The sequence below is a fragment of the Homo sapiens genome, chromosome 1, assembly GCF_000001405.40.
Source record: "Homo sapiens chromosome 1, GRCh38.p14 Primary Assembly".
Classification (NCBI taxonomy): Eukaryota; Metazoa; Chordata; class Mammalia; order Primates; family Hominidae; genus Homo; species Homo sapiens.
This window is the reverse complement of record NC_000001.11, coordinates 18,467,449-18,486,767: the sequence shown is the minus strand read 5'-3', so window position 1 is coordinate 18,486,767 and position 19,319 is coordinate 18,467,449. Positions and strand designations below refer to the sequence as shown.

Below are 19,319 nucleotides of genomic sequence, written 5' to 3'. Positions count from 1 at the left end.
TTGGTTTAAAGTGGAAAGCGACCCAAATTTAATTTTTTTTTGTTTTTCTGAAGAAGAAAGAATTCCTATTGGAAAAGCAAGAAGCCAAGTGACACAGATGTCACTCTGAGGCTAAGGGCAGGAGGCCAACAGACCCCAGGCTATTAAGTAAAGTCAAGTAGAAATCTGAGACTCTGGCCCCATGAAGTCGTCTCAGCTGCACACCTGAGTATAGGGTCTGCAACATTCTGGTAACGACACTGGCTCTCACTCCTATATGTTGTAAATGTAGGTGTAATTGAGTTTTTTTCCCTTACAACAAAGGCTAAACAGAATAGCTGGGCCCCTGTCCTTCTTCCTACCCCAAGATGGCGCTCCTCGGAAGCAGCCCGGCTCTCCCTGGTGGGCACAGGGAGCAAAGTCCTTCTGGCTGCAAGGCCACCCTTCCGGTTCCCTGGACCAGTCCTGGTCTGTGCATCTCCCAGATTTCCATTCAGGTCCCTGTTCAAATGTCATCCTATCAGGGAGGCCTGATCACATGATTTAAAAGAGCAACCCCTTTCCTCCGGCACTCAGGATCCCATGTCCCTGCCTCAGCTTTCTCCTTAGTGTATATGCAGCCTAGGTACTAGGTTCTATGTATTTCCTTTTAAAAGTGTCCATTTTCCTTTGCTAGAATGTGAGCTCCATTAAGGCAGGGATCTGCTGCATCTCCAGCACCTAGAACACTGCCCAGTCCAAATATTCTGTAAATGTTTATTTCAGGAGTGAATGAATGCATCCTGATCATTTTTTTTTTTTTTTGGTGTGTGTACATATTTAGTTTTATTGTAACAAAGCAACTTGTATACTTTTAATGTTTAAAACAGAGCATCATCTTTCCTTTCCAGTGAAACAAAAAGAAAACTTAAAAATAAACAGGAACAAAATTACAATAGAGAATGTCAATTCCAAATAAGATGCTACGGGTTCCGCTGATGCTCCCATTGAGTGGCAGGACTCAAGCCATCATTAGGAAAGAATTTATTTTTAAAGTGTCATCTTAAACTGCAAGGACGATTGTGCCCTCAGGGTGTCTTTCCAAGGTCTTGAGCTACCTTGTTCCACCCTGATGGCCCTGACCACATTCTTCCTGAAGCCCAGCTCTAGAGCCCCAGGCCAGCACATCAGCTCTAATCTATAGGTAGTGACTGCCTGGGACACTGTATTGAAACACTTATGAAGCCATTGTGAGCGCTCGCCAGGAAAAGATAGGACGACTGATGAATGATTTTGCCAATGGAACCATAAGAGAGGTGGATCAGATGGACTGTGTACTCCTCTTCCCAGCCCAGGCCCAAATCTCAGCTCCACCTCTCATTATGAAGACCACACCCACCATCAGCTGGGGCCTGGAACACATTTGTCCGTCTTATCCCTGGAATCACTCCCCTAGTCTCTACCACAGGTATGCAATGGGCTTTGGAATGTTTTTCCAGAGTGGTCCTTGTTCCTCCTGGGCTTGGAAACTTTCCAGAACTTTACCTAGCTTAGTTGTTGCCTTGTCCTCTGCCTGGCCCCTCACTAGGGGTTGAAGGTTGGATCTAGGTCCACCTGCCCCCAGCTCCTATGTAGAGTTCTCCTCCCAAGCAAGTCCTTCCCCCAGTCCAGCAGCACAATGCTAGTGCCTCCTTTGAGTCTTGTCACTGAAGCCATTCTGCCCCAGCCCACAGGTCCCTTGGAGGTTCATGCCTAGTGTTGACACTGAGCTTGAATGTGGCCTTGGCTGGGTTCAGGGGTCACTCTCCCAAGAAGGTAGCCATGGCCCCAGCTGACTTTCCCTTCCTGGTCTCTGATTTAAGAATAAATTCAGTTGCTTCATCTTTCGAGGCCCAGGCCAGGGAAGTGGGGTGGGGGTGTGGCCAATGTCACCCTGTGGCCTCTGAGCTGCCACTGGCAGAGCCTGGTGCCAGAGCCCAGACCAGGGATGGTGGTCTTCGGTGGTCCAGTGCAAGCTCTCCTCTTATGTCCATGCCAACCTCCTTTTCATCCTTTGTTCCAGTCCTGCTTCTTCCAACAAGACCCACAGCCTGGGCACCAGCAGCTTCCGTGGACACAGGATCTAGCTGGGACCACCTGGGAAACTGGGAAGAACTTTCTCTTTTATCCTCTCATTTATCCCCAGGGCAGACAGGGACATGAATTGTCCTTCCCATTTTCAAGACAAGGACACTGAGGTCCAAAGCATCCTTATTTTCTTCCTTGTCAGGCCCTGCTCTGGTGTACCTCCCATCTCCCCTGGCTTCTGGCTGGGACCAAGAGCATCACTGCCTTCCCATCTGTCACTGTCTCCCTCAGAGGTGGAACAAGGGCTGTGGTAATACACTGGGTCAGGCTCTCTCCCGTCCCTCCTGGAAGGACAGGTGCTTTCCTGAGGCTGGGGGTCTCCTTCATTCGGAGTTTATCAAACCAGATGTGAAAGGAGATCCAGTCTCTGGATGCTTCACTAGACTCTTCTAGTTCCTCCGCTTGGTCATCCACCTGAAAATGTGAATGCGGCAAACCAGGTGACCGTACCTGGCACAAGGAGGGCAAATTATGCTGTCACCCTGAAGTGCTGACTGGTGGTGGTTGCCCCAGCTTCCAGACAGGAAGACGGCTACAGATCTGAGAATGAGTGCAATGGTCAGTTAACATGGGCAGGGCCGAGGAGCAGGGTGGCCCTTGGATCACATAGTTTCTTCCCTTTGCTGAGACCTCCGTGTATCCTTAGCAGACCTCCACCAGAAGATAGCTTGGTACAATGGCTGCTTCTCTTTCTTCCAATAAGGAGAAAAGTAATGTGGGCTTTGGTATATTTTCTCGCAAGCAAGAGTCTCCTAGGCTGGCCCCAGCTTCAGCTGTTCTACTTTTCAAACCACCACTCCCTCTGGCCAGGGCCCCTGGGGCTCCCTCGGCTCCTTCCTGGCCCTGCCCAAGTCACCTGCCTCCATCTTTCCCACCTGTGTGTCCCGGTGCTTCTGGGAACTGTGGAGGTGGGGCCCAGTGGCTGATGTTTAGGAAGGGGCACTGATGGCTCAGAGAGCCAACCCCTCTCCAGAGCAACTAGCGAGGGGCTGCTGGGGTCAACTGGCTCCTAGAATTGTGATTGCAAAAAGACTATGCCCCCTAAGCTTTGGTGGGGTCCCGGTGTATCCCCCCAAGAATTCAGAGTTGAAGCAAGGGCGGTCATCCCTGAAGACATGAATGCCTTCTGCCTTGGAACACCAGCTCCTGGTCCTCTTTTCTGCAGTGGGGCCTCTGCAGCCCATGAAGGGTAAGACTCATCTAAGATCCCTCTCTCCCCAGCTAGGGGAGGAGAAAGGACCGGAATTCACCTCTTGATGGCCACATTCCTGGGTTGCCTGTTTGCCTAGAAATGGCCCCCAGAGGGACGGCTGGCAGTGGAGCCCGGTGGCCCCCAGCTTTGCATGAGGAGCTCAGTTGAGGGACTGCTAGACCCTGGTCTGAGGCAAATCGGGGGTGGGCAAGGTCAGGACGGTGGGCAGGAGGGTGCCCTGCGGGGCCGGGAAACTCCGCAGCTCCTTGGGCACAAACCTGGGTGAGACAGAGTCTGCTAGGAAGCAGAGGGTGCTCCGGCGTCCCACGCAGTAGATGAGGTTGTCCACCACGGCGCACTGGAAGGCATCCGGGTAAGGCGTCCGGTACGTGGCGCACTCGTACCAGAGCCGGGTGCTGGCGCTGCAGCGGTACACGGCGATGCCCAGGCTGCGGTTGAGGTCAAAGCGGTAGAGAAAGCCGTTGACCGCCACCATCTCGGCCGTGCGGTCCTTGCTGCCCCCGGTGGGGCCGGCCCACCAGCGCTGCTCCTGCGCAGAGAAGCGGAACAGCAGGAAGCGCAGCGAGCCGCCGGTGACGAAGATTTCCTTGGCACGCACCGTGGCCGTGTGCGCCAGGGCGAACGTGTCACTGGGGAGCGGCGGGGCAAAGTCCCAGCGGTCCAGGCGGGGGTCGTAACGCTCCACCGAGTTCAGACACTCTCCGCCGATGGCATACAGGTGCCCGTCCAGGGCCACCAGCCGGCAGTGCGGCCGGGCCTGGTTCAGCGGGCACACCTCGCTCCAGATCCCCGTGAGCGGGTTGTAGCAGAAGACGCGGCTGGAGGGCTGGTGCCCGGGCCCCTGGCAGCCGGACACCACGAAGAGATAATTGAAGAGACTGCAGATGGCACAGCCCCGGGACACGGCCTCGGGGGGCATGCGAGCCAGCGGGCGCCAGACATCCTGCTCATCGTCATAGCAACAGAGGCCGCCGGAGTCTTCCTTGGGGCACACGTCAGCCACCACCAGGTACTGGCGGCCCCGGAGCCGGCGCTGCAGGATCAGCTCGCGCTCTGCCCCGCTCAGGCACCCGTAGATGTCCGGGCTGCGCAGCACCTGCAGGTAGTTTTCGCTCATCACCTTGTAGGCCGCCTCTTTCAGGGCCTCCAGGTTCTGCCTCTTGGCCAAGGTCAGCACCTCATAGCAATTGCCCAGATCCAGGCGGACCTGTGGGGCTGAAGCAGGGGTGAGCGGGATATGGAAGAAATTGGTCCCGGCCACCGGCTGCACATGGGGCTCCCGGCTGCTTCTGCCTAAGCCAGGCAGGGCGCCCGGGTCTGGGCAGGGTGGAGCGGGGAGCCGGAAGCCATCTGGCTGCAGCTGCAGCTCTGGGTTCTCCGCTATCTGCAGAAGGCTCTCCTTCCGGCTGAAGCCTCGGGTGGAGGGCCACGGCCCTGTCTGCGGGGAGGCGGCTCTTTCGGCTGCACCCTTTGTGTCACCGGCTTGGCCTCCCGAGGCAGCCCCTGTTCCCAGGGACCCTGGCGGTGGCCTAGGGGATGGAACCTCAGTCAGGGCTGCTGTCCTGGGAGCCAGCCTGCCCTGGAAGATGGCCTGAGAGGTAGATTCCACATAGTAGTCGTACACCTTGCCCTTGAGCCGGGGCTCAACCCCCTCCGCCTTCTGTATGAAATGCTCCTCCATTCGGACGCGGGCTATGGATGAGAAGGTATAGGAGGAGTTGGGGGCGCCCTCCTGCTGATGCAGGGTCAGGTCAACATCGGAGGCAGCCTCGAGAGCCCCAGCCTCTTCTCTGCTGACCCCTATCACACGGGTGAAGACCCAGCTCTGGTTCATGTCACTGCTGCCTTGCAAGGGAGCCACGTAGTGACAGTGGGGAGGTTCTAGTTGCCCCAGTCCTGGATGCTCACGGGGTTTACTGTCCTGCCATGGAGAAGGCTCACCACCGGCACAGCTGCCGTCGGCTGCTGCAATGAGTCCAGCTGGGGAGCTCTTCGGTTCGCTGCCCAAGCGGGGGAAATGGGGAGGGTCAGGGTTACTGCCAACAGCTGTTCTGGTTTCCTGGCTGGGGCAGCAAGGAGGCACCTGCTCAGAGTCCGAGCCCTGCCCGCCCCGCTCCTCACCTGAGCCTTTTCTCTGGGGCTTCCTGTCTGTGGAAGTGGCCCCCGTGACCAGGACATAGGGGCCTCTTGGATTCTCACAGCTGCAGCCCTGTGGTGCTTCAGCCCGCTTGCTGCTCCTCCGACGTCTTGGCCCCCTCAGGAGCACCCCAGGAGAAGCCTCCTGTACAGCAGGCTGCCCTGAGCCCTCTGCTTCCTCCTTGGCTTCTGCCTGGCCATTCCCACCCCACCGCTGGGCTGGGGCAGGCCTCGACTTGTACAGCCTGTAGGCCACAGTCACCAGGAGCAGGGCAGCGGCTGACAGCACCACCTTGCCGGTCAGCTGCATATCCAAATGCCAGTCCTGGGCCTCTGCTCCTCTGGGGAACATGCTTCTCCAGCCAACCTGGGGCTGAGGAATGTCAAGAATCTGATTAATAATTGCCCAGTAGGGACCAGTTCCTGGGTCCTGCTGAGCGGAGGGGAGGGAGTTCTGGGCTGGTTCTGGCTGGCCAGCCGAGGAGAGGAGAGGAGCAAAGGTGACTTTGAGCTGCAGAGGGTGGCCGCTGGGGCCCAGAGCTGGCAGATCCCAGCGGCTGGCCTCCTTCCATGCTTCCCTGGTGGCTGGGGTGGGGGGCCCGCCCAGGGGCTGAGCTTGTGATCAGCCACCTAAGCCAGCTCTGTGGTCAGCAGCTAGGGGATGTTAGGAGTATCCAGTGGGCATACAAAAGAGGAGGAAGCTCTTAACCAAACAGTCACCCGATGCCAGGAAATGCATGGGGTTGGTTATTCTTTATGTGTGTGCTTTATTTTCTCTTTTGCAAGTCCACTGGGCTCAGAGGCTTGGGTGTGGTGAGTCATGGGCAGGTGGAGCCCCAGTAGGCGTGGATGGGGTCATTCTTGTGAGGTCTGCTGGTCCTCACAGTGGGGTCAACTTTATGCTGGCCAAGCAGGGAACGGGAACATGGCAGTGGAGTCTGGAGCCAGGGCATGCAGCCAAGCCACCTGAGCCGGCCCTTGAGTGCCTCTGCCCTCCTTCCCTGCCTGACAAGTTTATTAAGAAAAACCAGCCTTTCTGAGAACAGTGGAGAAAGACATTGCATTAGTGCTCAGATCGGGGTTAGATGTGGACACATCTTCTCTTTTAAAACCAGACAATCTCCTACGGTGAAAGATTGAGGGAAGACTCACGTCTCCCAGACCCCCCCTCACCATTTCCCCTCCCCCATCACCAGTGCTGTGGGTCCTGGACCCAGACTACCTGGCTCTGCTACTTACCAACTATATGACCTTAGGCAAGAGACCTCACCGCTCTGTGCTTTGTCTGAAAAAGGAGGATGACAGCATACGCACCTCATCAGCTTGTGGGGAGAACTAAATGGGCTACTAGGAATAAACACTGGGGCAGAGCCCCCATCATGAAAGCTTAGTAAATATGAACTATTCTCTGCTTCTTCCTCCTTTTCCTCTTTCTGATCATCGGCACCATCATCGCTAGTATCAATTGTCATCAGAGGACCTTCCAAAGCACAGAACTAATTCTACCCTTCTCCTGACCAAGGTCCTCAAAGAGTCCCCAAAGTCCTGTGCAGGGGTCTCAAACTCTTGCTGCATATGGAGGCTGGGTAGGTAAAGTGAACAAGTAAGGACGTCTGTCCGCCCCACCCCAGCCGATGGTATCAGGCCCAGCATTGCCTCATCCTCCCACTGTCGCAAAAAGCTTAGAATCCCAGTAGTGACATAATCACTCTCAATTTTAAAATGTTGGCATCTGATTCAAAAATGAAACTGAAAAACACTGTGGGCCACAGGAAGCACACGCATGGGAGGAATTTGGCTCTGAAGGCTTTGACTCTAGGAGACAATCCTGACTCCCTATGCCGACGTTCACAACTCTCTGTGTACCAGCTTCGGTTTACTCTTCCAGATGCATCTCCTGATCACTGCCTAGCAAACCGGGCTCAGGGTGACTTCTTGGCAGGGAAGGCTGGTGGACATCCCTCTGGCCCATCAGAGTTGGGTAAAAGGCTGTGTCTGGGCCTTCTTCCCTGGTGCCTTCATCCGTCCAAGATCACCTTTTCTTCCTTTGGGTCTCGTGTTCTCTGATGCTCCTCTTTTAGGCTTGGCCACAGCTGCTGCATCGTAAAGTGCATTGTGTGCAAGATCTGGTCTGCTGCATTCTAAGTCCTTGAGGACAGAGGCTGTAGCTGGCTCAGCTGTGGACCCTAAGCCTATGTGGGGCCCTGCACCATTTGGGACAATAGCCAGCAGGGATTGTCTTTACACTGAGTGGATTGGGGTGAACACTCGGGATGAAGCTCATCTCATCTCGTCTCATGCTCACAGCCCCTTTGGGGAGAGACACGATTGTTATCCCCATTTGACAGCAGCGGTAACTGGACCTCCAAGATTATGTCAACTGGCTTGTAAATGGGGACTCAAAACCTTGTTTGCAGAGTCCAGAGTTTTACAGACCTGACTTCATCCAGCAGGTGTGACCTCTTAGAAAGTCAGGTGTCCTCAGCCTGTCCCACTGGTAGCTGTCAAGAGGGGTCCCCTGAATTCTCTTTCTTTCCATCCTGGTCAAAAGAGTGCCTATCAATGCAATGTGCACAAGGATCACAAGGGGTGCTTGTTAGAGATGCAGCTTGCCTGCCTGCCTGCCTGCCTGCCTGCCTGCCTGCCTGCCTGCCTGCCTGCCTTCCTTCCTTCCTTCCTTCCTTCCTTCCTTCCTCCCTCCCTCCCTTCTTTCCTCCCTCCCTTCTTTCCTCCCTCCCTCCCTCCCTTCCCTTCCCTCCCTCCCTCCCTTCCTTCCTTCCCTCCTTCTTAACTCTCTCTCTCTCTCTCCCTTTCTCCCTTTCTTTCTTTTTCTCTTTCTTTTTTGAGACAGAGTGTCACCCAGGCTGGAGTGCAATGGCACAATCTCAGCTCACTGCAACCTCTGTCTCCAGGGTTCAAACGATTCTCCTGCCTTAGCCTCCCGAGTAGGTGGGATTACAGGCATGCACCACCACGCCCAGCTAATTTTTGTATTTTTAGTAGAGACGGGGTTTCACCATGTTGACCAGGCTGGGTTTTTTTTTTTTTTTTGAGATGAAGTCTCACTCTGTCACCCAGGCTAGAGTGCAGTGGCATGATCTTGGCTCGCTGCAACCTCCGCTTCCCAGGTTCAAGCAATTCTCCTGTCTCAGCCTCCTGAGTAGCTGGGACTATAGGTGCACACCACCACGCCTGGCTAATTTTTGTATTTTCAGCAGTGATGGGGTTTCACTATATTAGTCAGGCTGGTTTCGAACTCCTGACCTCGGGTGATCCACCCGCCTTGGCGTCCCAAAGTGCTGGGATTACAGATGTGAGCCACCACGCCAAGCCAGGGATGCAAATTTCTAAGCTCTACCTTTTAGATGTCCTGATTCAGTGGGCTGGGTGGGTCCCAGGAAACCTCCATTTTTAACAATCATCTCAGGAGTTTTTAGTGAGCCTAGGAATTAAAAATAAGTTAGCTTTTCTACTTGTCTGCTGAAAATTCCTGTTCATTCTTGGATGGTGGGTGAGCAGTTCCTCTCAAGTTACATAATCAATTCCTCTTGGTTACATACTCAAGGTGAGTAACAGAATGGGAATGAAGTCCTGGGTGCTTTGTATAAGTAAAATTATTTAATTTTCCCAGTAATCTGGAGAGGTGGTTATTATCATTGTCCCCATTTTACAGATCAGGACATCGAGGCTAAGAGAGACAATGCCAATGGACTGAGAGTGACAAATCCTGATTTATAATGTTTCTTGCTGCACAGCCCATTGTCTTCATCTAGAAACTAGAGAATGAGGTGTTTGGGGCAATAAAAATGATTTTTCCAGGGGTGAAAAATGCTTTGTTGAGGCTGATGAGGGGCCAGGCTACCATTCCACTGGTAGGGGTATGAAGCTCATCTCATCCCATCTCATGCTCACAGCCCCTTTGGGGAGAGACATGTTTGTTATCCCCATTTGACAGCAGGGGTAACTGGACCTCCAAGATTATGTCAACTGGCTTGTAAATGGGGACCCAAAACCTTGTTTGCAGAGTCCAGAGTTTTACAGACCTGACTTCATCCAGCAGGTGTGACCTCTTAGGAAGTAGGTGTCCTCAGCCTGTCCCACTGGTGGCTGTCATATGTTCATATGTCATATGTCTTTACCCTTGGAGAAGGGGAGACATATGAAATGCCCCCTTGGTGAGATGTGACCTCACATTGTCCTCTCAGATGCCACCAAGTTAGAAGGGTCTCAGCCCCTCTGAATGCTGCTTCCCACCTGATAAAGGCTCCATCGTGTCCCAGAGCCCTCTCTCTGTGGCTCCAGCTTAAACCCTTCAATTCAAACAATCAGCATTTCCATTTGAAAAGCTCCTGGGCACTGGATGTGCCCGAACCAGCCTTGGGGTGTGGGGAGGTGCAAGGATCACTGGGAGCAGAAGACAGTCCAAGTCCCAGGGGAACTTATTTTGTCCCTGGTCCAGAAGACGGGGCATAAGCCTGAGATATGATCAAGCTGCCATGCATCGCAAAGGAGAGATGAATGAGGTGGTTTATCAGAATAGAGGTCAGGAAAAAGGATTCCAGAAAGAAGTGTTTGGAATTGGGTATTGATAAAGAGAGGAAGAGGCATAGACTGATTGATTGATTGATTCAAAAAATATTTACAAGATGCTTACCACCTACCAGGCCATGTGTTGTGATGTCATGACATAGGTTAAGGAGACCGCCATGGCTCCTGTGCCCATGGAGGCTGTGGTCTAGGAGACACCAGGCAGGGAGATGGTGGGGGGTGCAGATGCTGGTTCGGGAGGGCTTCCATGGGAGTTCAGAACAGGAGTCCCTGCACCAGGCTAGGACGAGAGGGTGTGGAGATGGTATTTGACGTGTTGGGAATGGCGGAAATAGCACAGGAGAACGTGAGAACAACAAAGCCTGGAGACCTCTAGACTGGAGCTTGGGGCTGGGTGCAGGGCAAGGGGTGGGGCCACATGCCCCCGATTTGAGCCCTGGTTTGGCACTTCCTGCGACCTTCCCTTGTCTGAGGGCAGAAGTAATGCCTGTGAAACAGCTGAGCATAGAAGATGTCTTCATTAAATGAGGCTTCCTGCTGTCTGCCCTGCATTCCAGTTCTCGGTGAACACAGCCACCTGACAGTGTGTGAAAATGTAGGTTTCATTATTATTATTCAGGTCTGGCGAGGCCCACAGATCAGGAGGCGACTGCCATTGAAAGGTGGTTTTTTACTCACGGGTCCCAAGAGAAGGGGGCACACTGCACCAGGCAGGACCACGTGGGGAAGCACTGGGTCAACCAGGAGGCAGAGCGAGTGAGGCAGAAGCGTGGGTGAGAGACGCTTTATGATGGTTTTTGCAGGAAGGAGTGAGAGAGGCAGGGTAAGCAGGATTCAGATTGGCGAGTTGGAATACTTTCAGCAGGCTCAGGGCTGGCTGTCTTTAGTTGTCCGGTACCTGGGCCTGGGGTGATTAGAGGCGGGGAATACTGGCCCAGAGTATGAGAGGCCTTGGGAATCTGATGAAGGAGGTGGTTGGGGGGTATGGGCTCTGGATTGGTTAGTTTGCGTGTGAGAGATACACTCCCGGGTAAGCCGCTTGCTATTTCTAGGAACTAGCTCACCCTGGGAGGGGCAGTCTCTCCTGGTCAGAGAGGCCCCAGATGTAAAACATCAAGGATATAGAAAATAGGAAAATAGGCCAGGCATGGTGGCTCACGCTTGTAATCTGAGTACTTTGGGAAGCTGAGGTGGGAGGATTGCTTGAGCCCAGGAGTTCCAGACCAGCTTGTGCAACAGAGTGAGACCCCATCTCTATAAAAAAAAATTAAAAAATTAGCCGAGCACAGTGGCATATGCCTGTAGTCCCAGCTACTCGGGAGGTTGAGGCGGGAGGATGGCTTGAGCCCAGGAGGTCAAGGCTGCAGTGAGCCTTGATTGCACCATCGCACTTTAGCCTGGGCAGCACAGCAAGACCTTGTCTCAAAAAAAAGAGATGAAAATATAGTTAATACAGACAGACAGAAGAACAGACAAGAACAGGGACTTTGTGGCCCCTGACAGGCAGACATCTTCCTTGCAGGGCAGCTGGGAAGTGAGCTTTTGTCTCTACCCTGAGGTCTCATTCCATCCGGCAGGTGAACACGACGCTCCTGCTAGTTGGCTTCAAACTCCATAAATTAGCTCCTGCTAGTTGACTTCAAACTCCATAAATTACAGCTTTTTTTTTTTTTAAAGTCCCTGTTTGGAAAAAGTGAAATGAACAAATAAAGACAGGAGCGAAATTAAAAGATAATTGGAAGTCTATATCGGGCTTCTGTGAATGTGCGTGCCTGCCGCCAATCTGGTCTCTCCGTGCGGGCAGGATAAATTGAGAACTCTTCAGTTGGCTCAGGGGGTGGATAAAACAGTCAGAGACAAATGCGTGCCATGCAAATAAACAGGCCCATCTCTGTCTGATTAGCTTTGTGTTCCATCGTACCAGTCCCCTCGCCAGTCAGCTTGTTCTAAGGGGCTGTGTTTTCCAAGGTGAGGTCAGACTCCAGGTAGGTGTGTCAGGTAAGGCCTTGAGTGGAGGGTAAGAGGCTGAGAGGACATGGGTGTGAGCACCTGGGAGAGGAGAGGTGGGTTCTGAGGGGTGGAGACATCAGAGAGGGAGGTGTGTGGCCTTTTACACACATATACACACATGCACACACATGCACCCATGTGCACATGTACACACGCACAAGTACATATCCACACCCACACATCTCACCTTTTGAGTCCAGGAGGGTCAGAGATAACTGGATTCTGCTTTGACCAATGGGGAGACTGAGGCCGAGAGAGAGACAGAGAGAGAGACAGAGAGAGACAGAAAGAGAGACAGAGAGAGACAGAGAGAGTCCAGTCTAGCTGTGACTAGAATACAGGGCACCTGGCTGGGTCTGGGGGGTGGAGGAGGAGGTCGAAGATGAATTCCTACTTATCCAAAAGGTGCTCAGTAAGTATGTGGTGTAGTCTTTTTTTTTTTTTTTTGTGAGACAGAGTCTTGCTCTGTTGCCCAGGCTGGAGTGCAGTTGCGTGATCGGGACTCACTGCAACCTCTGCCTCCCGGGTTCAGGCGATTCTCCTGCCTCAGCCTCCCGAGTAGCTGGGATTACAGGCAGGCGCCACCACACTCAGCTAATTTTTGTATTATTAGTAAAGATGGGATTTCATCATGTTGGCCAGGCTCGTCTTGAACTCCTGACCTCAGGCGATCCACCTGTCTTGGCCTCCCAAAGTGCTGGGATTAGGTGTAGTCTTTTGCATTCACACAGGGGGCCTCTCTAGATAAACTCTCCTGGATGTGTCTTGGGGTTTGTTGGCTCGTTAAACCTCACATCCCAGTGCTGCAGCCCCAGCTGATGTGTGGCTCACCATCCATACTGGTTGTTAAAATGCTGAGAAGTTTCCATTCCGGTTGGTAAAAGGGCACTGCCCCAACCCCAGCAGCCTGGCTGGCACTCCCCCAGGACCCCTTCAGACCTCCCCCCTACTTATGAACTAGAAGCCAATGCTTGGCATTGCAAGGGTCCTCCAAACCCCGCCTTATTCAGTTAGGTCAGTCTTATGCATTACATAGTGGTGAATGTACTGAATAGCTCTCCGCCTCTGCCTCCCCCAGGCCCCTGTTTTGTTCTGTCTAGGGAGATGCTGGTGCAGGAGTAGTTACTCTGATGATGTTAACTCAGTTGGTATTCTGAGGCTGCAAAGGTGAGGCCAAACCGGTACAGCAGTGGACCGTCCATGAGGAATGCCGCCTGCCGAGACCAGATAGCAGCTCATTCCAGGGCATCTCATGACACCATCCATTCACACAACCTCAACAAATAGCTGTCACGGTTATTAGGGGCAGAGCACTTGACCAGACACTTTGATTCTGCCACCCTGTGTGGCTATCATCCCCATCTTACAGATGAGGACACTGAGGCTTCCTGGAGGCAAGGTGACCTCCTCGCCCAAGGTCTCGCAGCCTGTAAATGGCATGCAGGGGGTGCTCACACAGTTTTCTCTTTCACCTTGGAACCTACTTCTATTCAGCTTGCCCTGCTGCCTGCTGCCAAAGTTCACCTCCGTGGAACACAAGGGAGAACCAGTGTTGTTCCCCAGAGAGACACGGTACTGTTGCTCCTTTATGTTCTGGATAAGCAGAAACCAGGGGCAGGTGGTGTCAGGATTTTGGAAGGGGAGAGGCATACCACAGCTGCCAGGAAGGGGGTCTGGCCTAGAAAGGGAGTTTCAAAGATTTGGGAGTGCCAAGGGCATGAAGAAATGTCCTACTTACAATTGCCACCACACAGATCATTAGGAAATGGAATAATAGCATGAGCTTCGTGCCTGTGAATTTGATGGGGAAATTGAATGTGAAACGATTCGTGGGTGCTGTTTGAGATGGCAGAATGCATCCTGATTTTTTTTCTCCTGGGGTGGAAGGAGTTGCAGAACTAAAGGAGCATCCTGAGGTTTGAATATGTGGGAATGACCTTCTGTCTCCCTGCATACAGAGACAGACTTTCACAGAGGGCTCAGAGCCAATAGTAATAGTAACAGTAAATATGAATAATAATACATTACTAATTACTGATATTAGTAAATGCGGGCCAGTATTTACTAATAGTAAATTAGTATTACTAAATTGTTTTAGTATTATTCTTCTCTCTCCTCCTTTGCAATACCCCAATATTAGTATTCACTAATAGTATTAGTAACTAATAAATACCGGCCAGTATTTACTAATAATAAACTTGTTATTTAGTAATAGTAAATTAGTACTAGTAATTAGTAATGCTAATTTACTATTAGTAAATACTGGCCAGTATTTACTAATTACTAATACTATTTACTAATTACTATTTACTAATTACTAATGTACTATTTACTGATTACTATTTACTAGTTAGTATTTACTAATTTACTAATTACTATTTACTGATATTTACTAATAGTAAATGCTGTCCAGTATTTACTAATAAGAGTTAAGGCTGCAGACATCATCTCCTTTAATCTTCACAGCAGCCCTGCAAGATTGATAAGATGTACCCATTCTACAGATGAGGAAATTGAGGCTCAGTCTCTTGTCCAAGGTCAAGTCTGTGGACCCCAAATCCATTCTTTGGAAATCCTTGCTACTCAAAAAAGCATCACTGGCCAGGCATGGTGGCTCACGCCTGTAATCCCAGCACTTTGGGAGGCCGAGGTGGGCAGATCACTTGAGGTCAGGAGTTTGAGACCAGCCTGGCCAACATACTGAAACCTCATCTCTACTAATACAAAAATTAGCTGGACACAGTGGCCTATGCCTGTAATCCCAGCTGCTCAGGAGGCTGTGGCAGGAGAATCGCTTGAACCCGGGAGGTGGAGATTGCAGTGACCTGAGATTGTGCCATTGCATTCCAGCCTGGGTGACACAGAGAGACTTTGTCTCAAAAAAAAAAAAAAAAGAAAAAGAAAAAGAAAAAAGAAGCATCACTTAGGAGCTGGTTAGCATGCAGGGTCTTGAGCCCCACCCCAGCCTCAAAAGGTCAGAACTTTCACATGCATCCCATCCCCGGTGATTCTTGGGCATGTTACAGTTTGTGAGATGCTGTCAGTGCCTGGATCAGCACCCCATTCACCCACAATCCCAAGAATCAATCAATTGTATGACCTTGAACATCAAGAGCACATTTTCTCTCACCCTGGGTCAGAGAGAGGTCACACTTTTGTCACTGACCTCTTAACATTTGAGCTTCTGGATCAACCCTAACAGACGTCACTACTGATTATGAAAAAAACTTCTCTGTGCCTCAGTTTCCTTATCTGTCAAGTAGGCATGATGCCATCCATCTCATTGAGTTATAGTCAGCAAACATGCTAGGATGTCCAGGAGGGCACCTGGTGCCTAGCAGGGATTTGGTAAGTGTTTACAGGATGGATTGAGGGGTCATAACAGACCCCACCGTTGTCAAGTGCTGATGATTGTGCCTTGCTGCTTGCTAAGGGCTTCTTCAGGTGCATTTTCTCTCATTTAAGTGAATGTTCACAACCACCAAGCAGGCACAGTTATCCTTGTTTTATAAGGAAGAAACCCAGGCACAGAGGACAGGATAAGTTACTTGCCCAAAGCTGCACAGTTAGGAAACAGCTGAACTGAGATTCAAACCACGAGCCTTCAGATCCAAGGACCTTGCTCCCAGCCGTGCTGTCTCCCCATGGCATCACTGCTCTCTCCTCCGTTGCAATACTCCTGACAGTCACCAGCCCTGCTTTTACCCCTAAAGCAGCAGGAATCTCCCTGGATCCAGTTGCCCATGGAGCGCCGTCCTCATAGCACATTACCCCTCTACACTCCTGCTGGCCTTTCTTGCAAACCTGATTCCCGATCTGCCACTTGCTGGCTCCAGAATGGCCAGTGGCTCCCCGTGGTCTCTCCAATCAAATCTAAATGCCTTGGCCCATTCTCCGAGGTCCCCTTGATGCGCCAGCCTCATTTGTCACTGTTCCCAAACAAAACACCTGTTCTGCTCCAGCCAAGCTCATCGGTTTACTGTCCTCTCGTCACTGCTGTAACACGGGCCATTTCTCCCACTCTCATGGAGCTCTTCCCTGAATCTCTGCCATTCAGGTTGCTTTTGCAAAACCCCAGATCAAAACTGGGCCTTGTCTACAGGGACTCAAGCCGAGGCAAGGGCTCTTCACTTATGCCAGGTCCTAGGAGCCTCTGAGGATCTACTGGACGTTATGGACCCTTGCTGAAAAGATGCACATTCAGATAATGTTTCACATGCGAATGCTGGAAGGTCCCAGGCCTTTGAAGTCCCGGTTCAGAACCCCTGAGCTAAAGGAGGGCACACACTGGGCTCCCGGGAAGCATGTGTTGGATCAGCTGTGGGTGAGAAATAGGTCGCCATGATTGGCATGCTTTGAAGTGGGTGCTTTGGGTTTACTCCATGCAAAAAAAAAGTGGGTGGGTTGTCTGGCCAAATATGTTTAGAAAACATTGCTTTGCAATCTGCAAGCCTCAATTTCTTTATCAGTAAAATGGGGCCAATAAGACCTACTTTGATATAAGCTGTAGTGATGATGGAATGACTTAAGGTGCATTGAGGACCACACTGTCCTTTAGGCCCCTGTGTCCTGTGCTCTTTTCAAGAGACCCCCAATAGGAAGAGAAGCAGAGACCCTCTACTGTCTACCCTCAGTGGGGAGGGGGGACCCAGATGGACTGAGAGCCTAGCTGAGTGTGGCTGCAGCTCCCAGTTCTCTGCCCAAGCCAGGAGAGACAGGCTGTGGGAGGGAGTGAGGGTGGGCATTGCTGGGTAAGGAGCCCCGGCAGGCAGCCCTCAGAACTGATCTGACTCTTGCCTCTCCCGGGACTCCAGAGCCGGTGCTGGCTCCAGAGAGGCAGGGGAGGTTTGTTTGTGTTCCACAGCCCTGAGCCTCTAAATGGAGCTAACACAGTGCAGCCAGGGGTCTTGCGGGCCCATTAGAGCTGCGCTGGCCGATTACAAATCAATGCTCTGAAAAGAGACAGCCTCCCAGGTGCAAAAGGTGGTGAGAGCTGCCCCAGCCAGGGCTGGAGAGAGCTGGAGGAGGGAGGGGAGGCTACAGGGTGAGACAGCCAGGTACGCCTGGACCCGGGACTGGAGGGCAGCACCCAGCATTCACACGGCCTCTGTTAGGAGTCAGATTCCTTAGAGCCTGGGCCTGGGGATGAAGAAACAAATGGAGAATTAGCAGCTTTGTCGAGCATTTACTATGTGAGGGGCACTCAGCTAGGAACGTCACATTCCTTGGCATGTCATCTTTATAACAAATCTGTGGTGGAGACAGGCTATGTGTTCACTAAACCCTGGTTCAGTTTCCTTTTCTTGGGCACCCAGTAAAGCTATATTCTCCAGTCTCCCCTGAAGTTGCAAGGGTGGCATTTGGCTAAATTATGGCCTAGGAAGGGCAAGCAGAAGTGACCAGTGGCTTCTGAATCCAGGAAGTAAAGAACGAGCGTGTTGCGTCCTCCTCTCTCTCCCTGCCATGGTGATCTTAGAGGCCACATGTCCCAGATGGACCAGGGCCACCCAGTTCACCAGCAATTGTGACAATAAACTGGTATTGGGTTAAGCCATTGAGATTCCAGGGTTTGTTGGTTGCAGAAGCTAGTGTCCATTTCCTGGACTAATATACATTCCATTGGGTGGAAGTGATCGTTCCCACTTTGCAGATGGGAACCCTGAGGTTCCAAGAGGCCAAAACTCACCCAATTGGTAGGCTCAGCCTCAGATCTGCAATGGAACCTTCCCATCTGCCTTATCAGGCCCACTCCCAGCCTTCCAGAAACCCACAGTCTAGCTCGGAGGGAATACATCAGAGCAAATTATAATGAACCATGACGGAGGGCTTTGTGGAAACAGGGAGGAAAGAACTAGGGCTTTGGGGAAAGGCTCTTAGAGCTGAGTTGAGGGACTTGGCTGGGAGACAAGGTGGGGAAAAGGCAGTGGAAGCAGAGTCCACTGGGTACAAGGGCTCTGGGGCTGGAGACCACAATGCACAGGTCTACACGTAGGCGGAGCTCTAAGCACTAGAAAAGGAATGAGGTGTTAAAGTGGCCAGAAATTTCCACATGGAGAGCAAGTGAATTGTAGGATTTAAGACAAGAAAGATGGAGATAAGAATCTGGGAAGGACTTCCTTTGATTGGAACATTCCAGATAATGCCAGCTTGGTCGCTCCCCTCATCAGCAGTCACCAAGAACCGGGAGGAAGTGACAGAGTGAACGTTTGGAGAGAGAGGAGCTTAAGCGGTGTGATTCATTGTCTATGTCCCCCAGGTGTAACCCCATTATTTTGTCCCTCCACACTGCGGGAGCACAATTCTTTTCTGTGGTCTGCATTCCAAGCTCTGATTTCCCAGGTTCCATCATGCAAGATCGTGTCCCAGCTCTGTACTCTGGCTCTGGGCACTATGCTGGAAGGAGGTGGGGCTGTTTGTCACATGGTTTTAGTCACATCTGTCTAATTGGCAATGGGTGAAGGCTGCGTATTTTATTCTCTGTCTTCGGAGGTGCTGTGTTTCCGTTTCCATCGCTGATATGCTTGGATGTCCTGTCACCTCCAAATCGCATGTTGAAATGTGACCTCCACTGTTGGGGGTGCCTAGTGGGAGGTGTTTGAATCACGGGAGTGGATATCTCGTGAATGGCTTGGTGTTGTCCTCATGATAATGGGTGAGTTATTTTTCTATTCGTTCACTAGAACCTGATTGTGTAAAAAGAGCCTGGCAACTCCTACCTCTCTCTTTTTGCTCTGTCTCTCGCCACGTGACATGCCTGTACCCACTTCACCTTCTGCCATGATTGGAAGCTTCCTGAGGCCTCACCAGAAGCTGAGCAGATGCTGGTGCCATGCTTGTACACCCTGCAGAACTGTGAACCAAATAAACCTCCTTTTGTTACGAATTACTCAGCCTCAGGTATTCCTTTGCAGCAACACAAAATAGACTAACACAGCCACTGCCTGAGAGCCCAGAGAAGAGGTGAAGCTCAAGTGTTTCAAGGCAGAGCCTGGGCCTCCACTGTTTCTGGGCAGCCGGCTTGCTTTTCCGGTAATCAGAGCTTCTCAGAGCTGAGAGAGGCCTTGGAGAGCCCTGGTCCAACTTTCTCACATCAAAGGTGGGACAACAGGGGTGACTTACCCCCCAGTCAGCATAAAGGGGACTGAAGGCTGGGCATGGTGGCTCATGTCTGTAATCCCAGCACTTTGGGAGGCCGAGGCGGGTGGATTACCTGAGGTCAGGAGTTCCAGACCAGCCTAACAAATACGGTGAAACCCCATCTCTACTAAAAATATGAAAATTAGCCAGGCATGGTGGTATGCACCTGTAATCCCAGCTACTCAGGAGG

General features: G+C 51.8%; 1 protein-coding gene across 1 annotated transcript, besides 3 other annotated features; it reads right to left on the bottom strand.

The window, feature by feature from the left end:
* Nucleotides 1–793: 793 nt before the first annotated feature.
* On the bottom strand, nt 794–5,838 carry KLHDC7A (kelch domain containing 7A). Its single transcript, NM_152375.3, has one exon. It carries the CDS (start codon nt 5,784–5,786, stop codon nt 3,453–3,455), a length of 2,334 nt encoding a protein of 777 aa, NP_689588.2. The 5' UTR covers nt 5,787–5,838; the 3' UTR covers nt 794–3,452.
* Nucleotides 5,016–5,887: an enhancer, noted in NCBI's record as "H3K27ac-H3K4me1 hESC enhancer chr1:18807375-18808246 (GRCh37/hg19 assembly coordinates)". NCBI's record gives its function as "activates a minimal SCP1, AML or CMV promoter by ChIP-STARR-seq in naive and primed H9 embryonic stem cells {active_cell/tissue: H9 hESC(naive and primed)}" and the evidence as "EXISTENCE:reporter gene assay evidence [ECO:0000049][PMID:30033119]".
* Nucleotides 5,888–6,760: an enhancer, noted in NCBI's record as "H3K27ac-H3K4me1 hESC enhancer chr1:18806502-18807374 (GRCh37/hg19 assembly coordinates)". NCBI's record gives its function as "activates a minimal SCP1, AML or CMV promoter by ChIP-STARR-seq in primed H9 embryonic stem cells {active_cell/tissue: H9 hESC(primed)}" and the evidence as "EXISTENCE:reporter gene assay evidence [ECO:0000049][PMID:30033119]".
* Nucleotides 18,324–18,497: a silencer, noted in NCBI's record as "fragment chr1:18794765-18794938 (GRCh37/hg19 assembly coordinates)". NCBI's record gives its function as "represses an EF-1alpha promoter that drives an FKBP-Casp9 reporter gene in an ReSE screen in K562 erythroleukemia cells {active_cell/tissue: K562}" and the evidence as "EXISTENCE:reporter gene assay evidence [ECO:0000049][PMID:32094911]".

What these genes read in the sequence shown, in the direction of transcription:
- KLHDC7A (NM_152375.3), bottom strand. Translation starts at nt 5,786, where the DNA reads ATGTTCCCCAGAGGAGCAGAGGCCCAGGACTGGCATTTGGATATGCAG.